The following is a 16,326-nucleotide window of genomic DNA, read 5'->3' on the forward strand; positions in this document are numbered from 1 at the left end:
CCTCCCAAAGTGCTGGGATTACAGGTGTGTGCCACCACACCTGGTGAATGGTGTTTCTGTCAAGCTTTTGTTCTTGATGGATTTGGGGTTTCATTTTTGCTAAGTCATAAAACCAGAATAAAACTCTGGGAAGTGGCATTAGCCTCTACTGGGGCAAGGCAAAGTCATTAGACTGGAATCGAAACCATTTGTACTGAAGCTTGGAGGCAGAATTGTTGGCACCAGGCAGTCCAGGTCTTGTCAGGAAGTTCAGTGCCAAAAACACACATGAAGGAACAGCAATCCACAGCATGAGGTTTCGAGTGCAGTCTCTGGAGGCAGATGGCTAGCTCTAATTCTGTCTGGGGGCATGACGCTGATGAAATTATTGCTGTACTTCCATTTCGTCAACTGTAAACTGGAATAATGGCGGCATGTGGCTCAAAAGTTTGTAAGTATAAAATGGATAATCTATGTAAAATATTCCTGGCGTGCAGCAACACATTTTAATTATTCCAATAATCTACAAATAGGGAGTGGGACAAAACTATTTAATGACCACATGCCAAAGAGACTTAAAAATAGATTGCTTTCTGAGTTTAGATGTAAAATGAGGGTATGGCAGAGCTGGGGCCTGGGAGGGGTCCCTGGGGAGCTCTGAGGGCAGCAGGGTGGCTCTTGCCAGACCCTCACTTCCCCACTTGGGCCTCCTGACTCAGGCCCTGCTGGGGACTTCAGCTCTCAGGGAAGTTGCGGAAATAAGTGGTATTAGCATGCCGGGGGCCTGGACGGAAGAAAGGACTGCCACACAGCCAGGCAAACAACCATCTTGGAATCAATCATATTTTTTCTTTTCTGTTCTGGCTGGAGAGAGACCACTGGGCTTTTGAGGTGGTTTTGATTTGAGGGAAGAAGCACCATCACATCTCTAGTGCTGTCGAGGAGGCACTGAACCCAAGCAGGGGAGTGAAAATTAAGAATTAAAAACAGTGTTTAGGGATTAATATCTAGAATATATAGAGAACTCCCACAGCTCAATAACATAAAAACCCCAAGCAACTCACTTTTTAAAAATGGGCAGAGGATTTGAATAGACGTTTCTCCAAAGAAGAGATACCAATGGTAATCAAGCATGTGAAAAGACGCTCGACATGACTGATCATCAGGGAAAGGCAAATCAAAACCACAGTGAAACAACACTTCACACTCATTAGGATGGCTACTTCTGAACATAACAGAAAACAAGTGTTAGTGATGATGTGGAGAAATTGGAACCCTTGTGCGTTTTTGGTGGAAATGTAAAATGATATAGTTGATATGGCGAACAATATGGCATTTCCTCAAACAAAAATGAAACATAGAATTACCATATGATGCAGCAATTCTACTTCAGGGCATATACACAAAAGAATTGAAAGCAGGGACTCCAATAGAATTGTACACCAGTGTTCACTGCAGCATTATTCACAACAGCCAGAGGGTAAGAAGAGTGTGAGTGAGTGCCTATCGATGGATGAGTGGATAAACAAAACGTGGCTGATACATACAATGGAATATTATTCAGCCTTGCAAAGGAAGGAAATTTCTGACACATGCTACAACATGGATGAACCTTGGGGACATTATGCTGAGTGAAATAAGCCAGTCACAAAAGGACAAACACTGTATGATTCCACTTATATGAGGTACCTAGTCAATTTAATAGAAACAGAGAATAAGTGGTGGCTGCCAGGAGTTTAACGGGAGGGGAGAACGGGGGGTTGTTGTTTAATGGGTACAGAGTTTGCCTGGCAAGATGAAGAGCTTATGCAGCTGGATGGTAGTGATGACAGCACAGCAGTGTGGATGTCCTGAATGCCACGGAACTGTACACTGAAAAATGGTGACGGTGCTAACTTTATGTGAATTTCACCATGATTTTAAAAGAGCCCAGTGTTTATTATCAACCTCATTGCAAGAGGAGCTTTGTTCAAAATTTCAAGTATTTGTTCAAAAGGTTTATTTAATGAATATCTATTAGTTTCTAAGCCCTGTGTTCAGTGCTAAGGGAGAGGGGAGAAAGGAAAGGCCTTAAGAACCTCACACTTCATCAGGAGAGAAGGGGAGGAAGGTAAGCCCTGAAGACATGAGAAGGATCTTCATTAAAAAAAATTCCTGCCGGGTGCAGTGGCTCACGCCTGTAATCCCAGCACTTTGGGAGGCTGAGGCGGGCGGATCACCTGAGGTCAGGAGTTCGAGACTAGCCTGACCAATATGATGAAACCCTGTCTCTACTAAAAATACAAAAATTAGCTGGGCATGGTGGCGTGCGCCTGTAATCGCAATTACTTGGGAGGCTGAGGCAGGAGAAGAGCTTGAACTTGGGAGGCAGAGGTTGCGGGGAGCCGAGATCGTGCCATTGCACTCCAGCCTGGGCAATAAGAGTGAAACTCTGTCTCAAAAAAAATTCTTTTAAGGGGCAGGCTGGACTCGAACTCCTGGGCTCAAGGGATCCTCCTGCCTCAGCCTCCCATGTAGCTGGGACTACAGGTGCACGCCACTGCCCCCTGCTAAGATAAGGATCTTAATAAATAAAAGTGGAAGAATGGACAAGATAGCATCTGCACATGGCTTGATGTACACATCATCACACCAAACAGAATTTAAGACAGGAAACTAGATTTAAACACAACAGGCTTGGAAGAAATTAGGGGGTTGATTCATTAATACCTGTGGAAAAGAAAATCTTTAAAATGGTAACAGAAGGAATAGGGTGGAGATAGAAGAAAAGAAACAAGAAAAAGTTGGCTGCTATAAAGAGACATCTGAAATAATTCTACAGTAAGAGAATGACTAAACAGTGCTAAAATACAATAGTGGGATTACATTCACCACGGAATCACCAGTTACAGCCAGCGTCGCCTGAAATACATTTTCCAGCAAGGAAGCTGCATTTTCAGGACCTTCTCTGTTATTCACACCATGACTTTCTTTTCCACAACCAGTTAGGACTTTTGCCACAGACAACCTGGTGGGAGGCTCGGGTCAGTGTCTGTCAGTGCCTGAGGCCAGCTGAGTTAGAGGAGGGTGACTAAGAAGAAAAGAAGACAACTGGGAAGGATTCCAGGCCCAGGGCCATTCTTGCTCTTCGCTTGTGCACATTACAGGCTGTTCCGAATATTAAACATGACATTAAAAAAGATGCCTCACTCACCTGAAATGCAGAAATATTTATTTTGGTTTCCTTCATTGTTTTTGGAAATTTTGTTTTGGTTTATAAAACATAGAAATAGCCAACACTTAAAGCAAACATTCAAAACCCCAAGGTGACAAATTATTGACTTTTTGTGCAATTAAGAATACATATATGAAGTTAGGCTACCAAGTAGTGTTATTACAATGACAATTCTTTAGTGCAAGCCCTGTTGTGCTTGTATATAATACATGTACTCTCACAGACCCCAAAACAGCTGCTTTAAATGTACAAATGACAGCTCAATTCAGTCAAATGTGGCAAAGACTCACAATAAAGTGAACTGCTGTTAATTTCCCAAATTAACTTTAAAAAATCCCTGGAGAAGTGAATCCCAGGAAATGAACTTTCCAGATTTCTACATCCTAGAATTTTGGCTTGTCAAACACATTTCATAGAAATCAGGTAGCATTATAAGAACATTTGCTTATTACTGTCCATTTCAATAAGTACTCAAGTATATACTCCCTTAATAGCTTTAAAGAAATGCTTGCCTGAGAGTTTATTTTTTGGGGAAAAAGGCAAGTTAATCCCAACATGATCTTTTGATATGAAAACCACATTAAAAATCTGTTGGCCTTTACACAGAGTGAGTGGTTCAGTGAAGATAAAGTAGACAGTTATTCAGGCGTCACAGCTGAGCATGGCTGATCCAGGTAACTCTTTCTTGAAATGCTTGTCTTCACTATAGAATCTAAGGCAGATTTTTAAATAACCCCTGAAAAAGGATGGAGTCGGGGAATCAGGCCTGGAGAACCGAGTCCAAGAGCATTCTGCCATGAAAGAGAATCCACGCGTTCTGATGAGCACCCATTTGCCAGAGGCTCCTTATCTGCATGGTTCTGAGTTGGATCTGCCCTCCCGCTTACTGGAAACCTTATGCTCCAACAGAAACCACAGGGGACTGGAGAAGAACATGAGTTTCGTAACCCTTACGAATCAGAAGGGTTCTGTGAATGCCTGTGAGAAGGGACAGTAGCAGGGATTTAAAAAGATCTCTGGTCCGCTTGTGAGATTCTCCAGCCAGGACAGTTGTTCTTATTTTTAAAGGGAACACTTCCCTCTAGTGCACTGTACTCTTTAGAGCAGCAGACAGCTGCAGAATTTGCAGCAAGTAGCAGACATCTCAGAGATAGCAAAGTCCTAACCCCTTGATTAGAGAAACAGGGAGACAGAAGATTTAAAACCCACTTTTTAAACTGAGGAAGTCTCAAATAACTTAGCACATTTATAGTATCCCCTTTACAATTTTTAAGGCTCATTTTGGAAAGTGTGTATTACCATAAACATGGTCTGCAACATGAGGTGACTGTAAGGCAGTGTTCTCTTTCCTCTAGCATTCCTATGAGAAGAACCCCGAATGGACAAGTCAAACACGAACGCTTCCTTCCCTACACTTGCTGTATTCAAAATTAACAACATGAAGGCCATCAGCAGGAGAAGAGATTGTGGAACTGTGCCATTTCCTCTGAGCTTTCTTCTTCACACTAAACCTTGATAGTGGAATAGAGGTCATCTATCTGCGACCTGAAATAGTTCCGCAGCTCTGGCCTTTTCGCCTTCATTGTTGGAGTCAGAAGGCCATTGTCGATAGAAAATAATTCAGGGTGCAATGTGATGCCTTTGACCTGCCAATAAACAAGGCAGTTAAAAGAGGAAAAAGGACACGGGCCACCAGTCTCAAAAGCACGTAAGCCTTGGAGGGGATCAACACTCTCCAGCCATCCAATCCATCCTCTCATTTCAGCCAAGCTGCACCTTCTCAACAAAGGACAGGCATCCTATTCTTAGGATAGGATTCGGGATCATATTCTGATATCCAGGAAAAGAGAATAAATGCTTTTGATTTAAAAACCTTTCCCCTGTCAAACTACTCCATTATTTATTCCTCATGTATGTCTTTAGGTCACCCCATATGTTTATATAATCTACCTGTAAAAAAATCTTAATGGAAAATTTGTTTTACAGGAATTCACCCACTCAGATGAAGGTCATACCTGTTCAAATGGTTTCAGACCAGAATCCTTCCCAAGTCTCACCATATCTTCGAGGATAGCTTTTTTGACATCCTAAAAGGGTAAGAAAAATAAATTACTTCCTCTGTTAGAGGTCCCTGAATATCTACAGGTACATTTAATGCCAAGTTATGATGAGGACAGACTGGACCCTTCAGAACCTTACCTTATTTCTGCACAGTTCCTCAAACGACCCTTCAAATCCTCTCTTTTGGGCCCAGGAACATAATGTCTCAACATCTGGTACCACAATTGCAATGAGAAATGCCTTTAACACAGACAAATGAGTTATTACATAGCTTGATCCAAATGCTCTAAAATAGTGGTTCTTTATTTTTCCATCTTGTGGCCCCCTGGGAGAATATGATGAAAGTTATGGCTCATCTATTCAGAACATACTACCCCCCTCCCCCAGGAGTTCACTCAGCCCAGATTAAGAACTCCTGGCTCTAAAATGTGGTAAGCATCAGGAATTTTGCAATTAATGTTTTTAAAAAACCACTGGGAATACCAATCTAACAAATCTCTAATTCGTATTTACTTTTATATACTTATTTTTTTAAAAGCAGGGTCAAGTAAACAAGGTGATGGATATCAGATAACTGCTTTTAAAAAAAAAAGGAAAAAAAGGAAGCCTGTCTCATGCTTGTAATCCTAGCACGTTGGGAAGCCAATGGGGATCACTTGAGGCCAGGAGTTCGAGACCAGTCTGGGCAATATAGTGAGACTCCATCTCTACCAAAAAATTGAAAATCAGCTGGGTGTGGTGGCTTGCACCTGTAATCCCAGCTACTCAGGAGGCTGAGGTAGGAGGATCCCCTGGAACCCAGCAATTTGAAGCTGTAATGAGCTATGACTGCCATTACACTCCAGCTGGACAACAGAGTGAGACCCTATCTTTAAGAAAATAAATAAATAAAATGTATATAGGTTCATTTTTAAAGAAAAATCTCTAATATCCCATTCTTTATAATCTACTAACAATAAAATTAAAAATCAAAAGAATGAGAAGATTCTAGATCAAACGAAAATAGCTGCAATCTCAAAGAAAAATAAGTGCATTCTCTTATAAGAAAATATCCTAAAATAATTTTAAAATCTAACAACTTTTTCTTTTTTTTTTAAATTATACTTTAAGTTTTAGGGTACATGTGCACAACGTGCAGGTTAGTGCCATGTTGGTGTGCTGCACCTGTTAACTCGTCATTTAACATTAGGTATATCTCCTAATGCTATCCCTCCCTCCCTCCCCCCACCCCACAACAGGCCCTCGTGTGTGATGTTCCCCTTCCTGTGTCCATGTGTTCTCATTGTTCAGTTCCCACCTATGAGTGACAACATGCAGTGTTTGTTTTTTGTCCTTGTGATAGTTTGCTGAGAATGATGGTTTCCAGCTTCATCCATGTCCCTGCAAAGGACATGAACTCATCATTTTTTATGGCTGCATAGTATTCCATGGTGTATATGTGACACATTTTCTTAATCCAGTCTATCATTGTTGTATATTTGGGTTGGTTCCAAGTCTTTGCTATTGTGAATAGTGCTGCAATAAACATACGTGTGCATGTGTCTTTAATAGCAGCATGATTTATAAATCTCTTGGGTATATACCCAGTAATGGGATTGCTGGGTCAAATGTCTAAAACATCAAAAGCAGTGGCAACAAAAGCCAAAATTGACAAATGGGATCTAATTAAACTAAACAGCTTCTGCACAGCAAAAGAAACTACCATCAGAGCGAACAGGCAACCTACAGAACGGGAGAAAATTTTTGCAACCTACTCATCTGACAAAGGGCTAATATCCAGAATCTACAATGAACTGAAACAAATTTACAAGAAAAAAACAACCCCATCAAAAAGTGGGTAGAGGATATGAACAGACACTTCTCAAAAGAAGACATTTATGCAGCCAAAAGACACATGAAAAAATGCTCATCATCACTGGCCATCAGAGAAATGCAAATCAAAACCACAATGAGATACCATCTCACACCAGTTAGAATGGCAATCATTAAAAAGTCAGGAAACAACAGGTGCTGGAGAGGATGTGGAGAAATAGGAACGCTTTTACACTGTTGGTGGGACTGTAAACTAGTTCAACCATTGTGGAAGTCAGTGTGGCGATTCCTCAGGGATCTAGAACTAGAAATACCATTTGACCCAACTTTCCAAAAGGTTAATTTTCAGGAAACCAGATCCTCTCTTCCTTGGCATCATCTGTCCAACATTTTGGCAAATACCATACATGTTTCACTGCAATACTGATTTTGATTTTCAACTTTGAGTATTCTTGGTTCACAACCACCGTTTGCTCAAAAATGATTAGGAAGCATATCATCAATAGGCTGGGTTTAATATGTTTGAAAATTGTAAACTTTCTTATAACCCATGTCAATATTTTCTTTCATAATTGGAAACATATATTACCCATGCCCCTGTCCCCCAGTATGTTTATCCAACCTCCCCTTGGTACATCAGACCTCTCTAAGTAAAATAAAAATGTGGAAATTAAAGAGAACAAATTTTCCTGAGCAGGAAATGCCAAGCAACAAAAATCAGTAACAGGTCAATGATATTCTAGCAGATTAGACATGAAAGCCAAGTGATAGGCGTCTCAAACTTCCAATCACATTTAAAGCCCCTGGAGTACCAGGCAATGGCAATGTGTATGCAGCAAGATTCAAGACCCAGAAAGCACATACCTGCAGGCTTTCTCCGTGGACAAACACCTGAGCAACAGGCTCACTTCGCATGTAGATATTTTCAATCTTTTCAGGGGCTATGTATTCTCCTTGTGCCAGCTTAAATATGTGCTTTTTCCGGTCGATAATTTTCAAGGTGCCATTCTGTTGATCAGAGGGGAGGGGGTTATGAATGGGCTGATGGCTGGTTTCCAACCAGGATGGATCCCAGTACAACACTGAAAGGTATTTAATACACACTATTGATTAATTCTAATAACATCCCACAGAGGTCAGTTATGATCCCATTTTACAGAGAGGAAAACAAAGGCTTAGAGAGACTGAGGAACTTGTCCAAGGCTATTTGGCCAAGTGCAGAGACAGAGAAGGGGTCCTAGAGCCCGTGCTTATTCAGCGTCACCACTTGGCACCACTGACTGGTCAACACTAGCAAGGCTTTGCTGGCTCATTTAGCCTCCTGTCTGAATTAGGCGCATACACATCTGGCTCACCAAGTGACTCAAGTTCCTTAATAGCAGGAACACAACTTTTCCTTCCAAAGTGCTCTGCACAGAGTAAGAGTTCAAGAAATGTTTCCTACACAAAGGCCAAATTCCTGTTTTCTTCCTCGATGTCTGGAGGGGTGCTCTTGGCCCTTTGGGAAGAGTGAGTCAACTGTGGAAGTGCTCTAGCATCTCTGGACCAGACCAGCCACATCCCAGTAGTGCCGTAAGCAAAACCCTAGTCCCACTTTTACCCCATCCCCACCCCGGGGCCACTCTCATGCCTCCAAAAGTCATCTGTAGAAAGTGTCTAGGGTTCTTTTGTTCCACACCAGTTCTCCATTTTCAAAAGGAGCAAACCAAGGTCCAGAGAGACTATGGGATGTGTTCGTGAGTGCCACAGTAGAATTGGAACTGACATTTAATCTCTCTTGAACCGGAAGAGGGGGACTTAATTTAGCTCTAAATAGTTTGGGTATTGCAAAATCTGAAGTAATTTTGGGAGGTATTTTTCTAATCAATACAAATTCCAAAGAAATAAGCACCTAAAATCTACAAGAATCTGCCAATACACAGTAATAAAAATTATATTTGTAATTTTAGGGCTTGCAATCAGCATCATAATAACTTCGAAACAGCAGATTACTGGTCAAACCAACAGGTAGGACAGGTCAGGCTTCTTGCACAAGCTTCTCACTCTTAAGATAGACTCTTCAGAATTTCTCTACAGTAAATGGTTCTGAGACTACATTCAACTAAATTCAAGGAGTTCGCCTAATCTGTGAAACACCCTATTTTTAATGAGATGACAAACCTAAGAAACACATTTATTCCCAAATCCTTACCCATCCTACATTGCTGGAAGTCTACCACAACTTCCCCCAGATCTTATTTAACTGAGGCCTCAACATCACGGCTCAGTACGGATATTGTAAAAAAGCCACTGTCTCTTTGTATTCCGGTTGAGAAGCAACAACCAGAATTGATGTTAAGCATCAAAACGGGCCAGGCGCGGTGGTGGCTCACGCCTGTAATCCCAGCACTTTGGGAGGCTGAGGCGGGTGGATCACCTGAGGTCAGGAGTTTGAGACCAGCCTGGCCAACATGGTGAAACCCCGTCTCTACTAAAAATATAAAAATCAGCCAGGTGTGGTGGTGGGCACCTGTAATCCTAGATACTTGGGAGGCTGAGGCAGGAGAATCACTTGAACCCGAGAGGTGGAGGTTGCAGTGAGCCGAGATCACGCCATTGCACTCCAGCCAGCCTGGGTGACAAGAACATGATTCCGTCTCAAAAAAAAAAAACCCCAAAAACACAACAAAGAAACAAAAAAGCATCAGAACAAAACATATTCGCTGAAGTGAAAGTGAAAATCCAACCAAGGATGCTAAGTGTAACCCTGTCCCCTGCAGGAAATGGAACAGTCTACATCATACCACTCACCAAGGAGGAAGGGAAAGAGAAAATTCAGGGTGCCACTGCCACATGGCAGCTGCACAGTAGATAAGACATTTTCTTCCCCACAGTGGAACTGAACTGTTTGTGACCTGAGGAGGCGGCAACTTACTGGTAACCATTTTCCAATGTCCCCTGTGTGTAACCAGCCGTCTTTGTCCAAAGCTTCTGCTGTTTTCGCTGGGTCCTTCAAGTAGCCCTGAAATACATTTGGCCCTTTCACACACACCTAAAGAAAAGAAGATCATCAGTGAACAGCATTTACTGGGGTTTTTCCAGAGAAAACTGGTGTGTGCATGTGTGTACGTGTGTGTCTGCCCCAACCTTTAGCTGGAAGCCCTAAACTCCAGGATGCAGAGGGAGTTACCAGAGCCCCACCAGGGTCTGCGAGAGATCTCCAGTGCCCCTACTTCCCTTCCTGAATTACCTCAGCTCTGGCCGATTTGTAGGGCAAATGCTTGCCCTAGGTTCTGGCTCAAAGCTGTTGGAAAGCCCCGCAGGGGATGAAATCACTTTTAAGTAATTAGGCTTCCCATCCAGCAGCCAGCAGCTCACTAATAGGTACCCAGGGCAATCAACAGGCAGGACCTTCGTCCCAGGAACTGAGGCCACCGGGCCTTTCTTTGCAGGCTCTCCAGCCCAAATCCCTATGAGGCCTGGCAGAGGAAGACAGGCATCAGTGTCCCTCCTGCCCACTCCCCGAGAGCTGAACATAAATGTACCCTCAGAAAGAAGCCTGGCAGACTCCAGGATCACCAATGAAGTCAAGTTCAATGGCTTTATTGAGCTGTTGGGAAATACCACAGCATTCGCAAAGGCCAGCGATCACAGGAAATGGCAGCGAGGGAAAATGACTGACGGTTTTCACTCACCTCGCCCTCGCCCTCGGCAGCCATGTAATTCATTTCTTCCACATCAACAAGTTTTATCAAATTGCACGGCATCGGGGCCCCAACATGGCCTGTATATTAAATAAGCAAATGGTCATTCCTAAGGGAACTACTCATAACCTCAGGTCAAATTATTTTGATAGCAAACAGGATTCCACATAAGAAAAACGGCTGGGATAAACTTCTGATTTCTGCAATTACAGCCATTCTCTTCCTAGTATAATTTAAGAGAGTCTATTCTTAGACTAGGGAAGAACATATTTAGTGTCTTCAGGACCTTTTCCAAGTGTGATGCTCTGAGTTATTTATGAGTAATTTGGCCTCTATGTGAAGGTTCCTACAAACACCTGGAAGCAGCCTCTCTCAAACCTTCACTCGGCTTCCACCCTCCGATCGCCCCCACCCATTACTTGCACTCATCTTACACAGAATTCTTAGCATCCTGTTCTCTGTAAGAAGAGAGAACATATGCAGCTTTGGCAAACCTCACGCACCACCTGGTTCTGATCAACACGGCCTTTATTTCCTTGCGTATGAAGAAGCATGTCTTACAGTTTTTACTAAGACGGGACAGTGCTTATTTCTACAGCTAACTTAACTCTCTTGCCAAAGGCTGTTAAGACTGGGCTGTCTTTTCCAAAAGCAGCAACAACAGACATTAGATATGTTAGATATCACATTAGATATCACAAATAATTCTTCCTATGTTTTAATAATTTGAGCTTCTAGAGATCAGTATTCCAAATTCTCTGTTAAGGAAACTGAGGTTAAAAATTAAACAAATACCATAAAGAAGATTCACAGACTGTCTGCGTTAATTCCAGGACAATGATGTTAGTGGACAGTGCTAGGTTCTAGAATATATGTTACTAAATGGTGCTAATACTTATAATACTCCAAATAAGCTGGGAAGTTTATTTATCACAGTGTAGAATTTACTACTCAGGTGACACAGAGGAAGCACAGAAGCTCTGCAGTCAGGCCGGGGTTGAAATCCTGGCTCCAAAGCATAATGCCGCGTAAATTCTCATACATCATTTATGTGTTACTTAAGCAACAATCTATAATTTCCTCTGAGAAGTACCAGAACTTATCTCACAGGGACACTGTTGGGGTTACACTGACATTAGGTACATCCTAAGCACCCATCACAGAGGCTTACCCATGACAGATGCTCAATTATTTTTGTTTGTCCTCCTCCTTTTTCCTTTTGAGAAATGACTTTTTGAGAAAAAGGACTTGTATTTATTCCTATTGGTAGTCCCAACACCTAGCACAGCACACAGTACAAATTCAATAACTATTTGTTGTTTAAAATGACCAGCAAATAACGAGACCCTACTCAATTACTAGGAAGCTCTGTTGGGCCAGACACTCTCAATCTGGAACACAGGGCCCCTCTCAGATGTCACTAGTAGAGTCTAGGCAAGTCTCTGCTGCCACCAGCTTTACAGTCAGATCCCCAGCGCCACCCCTCAGTTGCAGGAGGTGTTCTCCCCACAGTGCCCTGACTTACAAGAGTGTTTGCCCCCAGAGCCTAATGATCAGAAACATAGCACTTTTGTTTAAGATGGTTAATGAACCAGTCAGTGATTAACCCAATTCCAGACATACCAATAACCCAGTATGAATAACAAAATTCCAAAAAGGAGCCTCCTACAGCCATACCTGCGGTCCAGTCTCCAGGCATGGTCAGGCAGCACCCGGCAGTGCACTCTGTCTGTCCGTATCCTTCATAAAACTGGGGCACCAAGAGATGCAACATTATTAAGGAGAGCACAATCACACCTTTACTGGAAGTGCACAAGCAATGAAGTCTCACTAACTCCCAAGTCATGGCTGACTGGTGAAATCTCATTTCAAATGGTCTGTTCAGTAAGTTCATTCAATGGTCCAGTGTGCTTTACGCCAACACCAGCCGTCACCCAGGTACACCTTCTATTTAACTTCCAGTGGCCAAGCGAGGGAGAACCCCTATGTGACTGGTCACCACCCAGCAGCAGTGAACTCCCTTGGCCAATTCACAGGACATGTACCCCACACATGCCCCGTCTGCCACCAAATCCTCCTTTCTCCCTTTACTACAGGTTGTCAGCATGGTGTGCGGGTAGGCTCATCACCTGTGACCCATTCCACAGCTGCATACCTGCTTCTAAAGGTTGTCTTGCACCTGATCCTAGAGAAAATTCAACAAATGGCAGACACACACATTCCCCTGCCTAGGGTAAAAAATATACATATGGTTGCTTCTCCAAGCAACCTAATAATAACATATCTTCCAAACAAACATAACACACACACACAAAGTAGGGGGTGGGAAGGATAGGGGTGATGTTGGTGAAAGGACACAAAGTCTCCATCAGGAGGAACTGGTTCAAGAGCTCCATAGCACCACGTGGTGACTAGAGCTAACAACAATGTATCATATACTTGAAAACTGCCCAGAGGGTAGATTCCAAGTGTTCTCACCACGTGGGAAAAAAAAGTATGGGTGGTAAGACACATGTTAATTAGCTTCATTTAGCCATTCCACAATGTTTACATATTACATACATCAAAACATCATGTTGTTACGCCATAAATATAGATACGCTTGTCAATTAAGAAAGAACACACACACACACACACAGTACAGATGACTTTTGGTGCAGAAGAGGACTGGGCATCCTAGTGTGGGAGAATCAGGCGCCGTGACATCCACCTCACCTGACAGCCCAGGGCTGCTCTGAGGAACGTCAGCACAGTGGCAGACACCGGGGCGGCTCCTGTCACCATCAGCCGGACTCTTCCGCCCAGGCTCGACTTTCAGGGAGGGAGAGTGGGAGAAGGTGAGGGTTACACACCTGGAAGTCGGCGGCCTCTCCGCCAAGGGGGCCTGCTTGGGACCCCGTTCCCTAACCCATAGCTGCAGACCACACGGAGGCCACACGGAGAACTCACAGCCCTCATGATGGCAGCACAGGGCTACGGTTTGTTTCCACCCGTGACTGCCCTGTTCCCTCCCAATGGGGATGGAAGTCAGCCCCACCTCTGCAGAAGCTATTTCAGGGAATTAGAACACAACTGGGCAGATCTGTGGCAACTACCACAATTCTGGCCTTCTGGGGGGCATGATATTGTTACACGTTATCACTCATGCTTGAAAAATTACCTCAAGAGTGACACGCTTGTTCCGGAAAAACGCAACAAAATGGAGAATGAGAAAGGCTCCACTACCCTGACTCCTTTTCCCCCTAGATGGCTGCAATACTATTGATCTTAGAAACTGAGGCCTCCTTAATGGCTTTGCCTTAGTTTTTAAATGTGTGCCAGAATTAACAAAAACATGTTATTCTCTCCCTTACCTTCATCTCTCCCTCTCACAAAAAAGGCCCTCCCAGAACTCTGAAAAGCGAAGTCGGTTTCCATGGGAGCAGTGGCTGTGAGTCACGTGTTACCTGTACTTTGTGGAAGATCAGCCGGTCCCACAGGCTGTTGTTTCTGATGATGCCGCTGCGAAGCTCTGCTTCTTTCCTCTTGGAGGCAAAGTCCAAGAGCCATCGCTTCAGCGTGGTGTTTGCTTGTCCGAAAATCTAATGAGGCAAGACATGAGAAAGTTTTCACACCTACTAGGATGGCCAGAGTCAAAGAGTGTGGAGAAATCAGAACCCTCACACACAGCTGGGGAACACAAAATGGCACAGCTGCTCTGACAGCCTGGCCGGTCCTCTAACGGCCCCACATGGTCAGCACAGGACAGCAATTCCACACCTCGGTATACACCCAGGAGCAATGGACACATACATCCCCAAATGCCCATCGAGTAGGAATGTGTAGGCCAGGTGCGGTGGCCCACGCTTGTATTCCCAGCACTTTGGGAGGCTGAGGTGGGCAGATCTCCTGAGCTCAGGAGTTTGAGTCCAGTGTGGCCAACATGGTAAGACCCCATCTCTACAAAAAATACAGAAATTAGCCGGGCATGGTGGCACATGCCTGCGGTCCCAGCTACTCAGGAGGCTAAGGTGGGAGGACTGCTTGAGCCCTGGAGGTGGAGGCTGCAGTGAGCCATGATAACACCACTGCACTCTAGCCTGGATGACAGAGAGAGAGACCCTGTCTCAAAAAAAAAAAAAAAAAAGGAATGGATAAATAAAATGCGTTATACCCATACAGTGGAATACTATTTGGCCGTTAAAAGGAATGAAGTGCTAATACGTGCTACATGGATGCTTGTGAAAGACGCCAGTCACAAAGGAGCACATATGGCATGATTCCATCCACAGAAAAGTCCAGAATAGAGAAATACACAGATGAGCGGATGCTGAAGGGTGGAGGGGGTCGGGGAGCTGATAAAGAATAGGTAAGGGTTTCTCTTGGAGGTCATGAAAATGTTCTAAAATTGATTGTAGTGATGGCTGGAGAACTGTGAAAGTACTCAAAACCTTTGAATTACACACTTTAAATCAGCAAATTATACAGAGTATTATATGTTGATAAAGTTGTCCTTTTAAAAAGAACCATTAAAAACATAAGAACGTTCTGAGAGATAACAAAAGTCCTGCCTCAAAATAAAGAGTAAGTGAACACTCTTTCTGGAGATTGCTCATGCCCCTCGCGCCTGGCCCTGGCTGTGCGGTCCACGCAATGATACCCACCGCAGAGGGGCTGGTGTTCTCTTGGGCTCTGCTGTGGCTTAGTCACTTCTTTCAGTGTGGCCAATTAAGTAATGTTTTACATGTCCATGCAAGGAGCTTTACAATGAAGAAAACCATTTCATAGTTACTATTCTTACGTGATCCCATTAGCAACTTTTGGAGACAAACAGTAGGAGAGAAGAGGTAAACAGTCCGTGTTACACATGAGGAAGCAGAGGCTCAAAGTGTTTATTGTAAAAATAAAATGACCTCCCACATTATGCTTGTGTTGTGACCATGGTTTACAAAGTGTGTTCATGCATTTTCTCTTATAATCCTTATCAGCCACTCTGAGAGGTAAACGCATTCTAACTTTACAGATGAGTAAACTGAAGTTCTGTAAGATTGGGAGGATTGTCCAGGGTCATACAGATGGCACATGGCACAGCCCAATTCAAGCCCAAGCCCCTGCGTCCAAGTCAGTGCTCAGTCCTGGGACTTCGCTGCTTGGAACTTACTCGGTCAAACATCCGGTTCAGCAGTCTTGGAACCACGGGGAAGACAGTGGGTTGAAGCACCTTGAGGTCATCCATGAGCAGCCTGATATCTCCTTGGAAAAATCCGATTTTAGCTCCATGACACAGCATTACACACTATAGGGGTAATGGAAAAAACAAACATTTTATCACCACAGCAGGGGTTACACAACATATGGACAACATCCAACATTTCAGTTTTAGCATTTCAGGCCAGTTTCCAGAAATCTTAAATTTCCTAAATATAGGTAACTTAAAAAAAATGTGCATTTACTAGTCATTGTACAACATGGAAATGTGGTATTTCTCTTGGTTATCCTGAAGATATGGGACTCAGTAAAAAACCAGGCTATGTTGTTTTTAGTGATGACCACAGAGGTTCTACTCTTTTAGTGCGGTGGTAAGTATCTGTTCAATGA

The 16,326-nt window shown here is 43.4% G+C and overlaps 1 protein-coding gene across 28 annotated transcripts in view; it reads right to left on the reverse strand.

The window, feature by feature from the left end:
• Positions 1 to 3,168: 3,168 nt before the first annotated feature.
• ACSL1 (acyl-CoA synthetase long chain family member 1) overlaps positions 3,169 to 16,326 on the reverse strand; it is a 71,000-nt gene continuing 57,842 nt past the window's right edge. For all 28 annotated transcript variants that reach the window (NR_167702.1, NR_167703.1, NR_167704.1 and 25 more), the window contains 10 exons: positions 15,890 to 16,024; positions 14,196 to 14,330; positions 13,465 to 13,560; positions 12,427 to 12,499; positions 10,741 to 10,829; positions 9,981 to 10,097; positions 7,931 to 8,074; positions 5,393 to 5,494; positions 5,209 to 5,280; positions 3,169 to 4,839 (listed from right to left, as the gene is read on the reverse strand). Coding sequence is in view for 20 of the 28 variants with exons in the window: in XM_017007887.2 (XP_016863376.1) it covers positions 4,699 to 4,839; positions 5,209 to 5,280; positions 5,393 to 5,494; positions 7,931 to 8,074; positions 9,981 to 10,097; positions 10,741 to 10,829; positions 12,427 to 12,499; positions 13,465 to 13,560; positions 14,196 to 14,330; positions 15,890 to 16,024 (1,104 nt within the window). In the remaining 8 variants the exon portion in view is untranslated. The remainder of the gene's footprint in view (positions 4,840 to 5,208; positions 5,281 to 5,392; positions 5,495 to 7,930; positions 8,075 to 9,980; positions 10,098 to 10,740; positions 10,830 to 12,426; positions 12,500 to 13,464; positions 13,561 to 14,195; positions 14,331 to 15,889; positions 16,025 to 16,326) is intronic.

The sequence above is a fragment of the Homo sapiens genome, chromosome 4, assembly GCF_000001405.40.
Source record: "Homo sapiens chromosome 4, GRCh38.p14 Primary Assembly".
NCBI classification, from domain to species: Eukaryota; Metazoa; Chordata; class Mammalia; order Primates; family Hominidae; genus Homo; species Homo sapiens.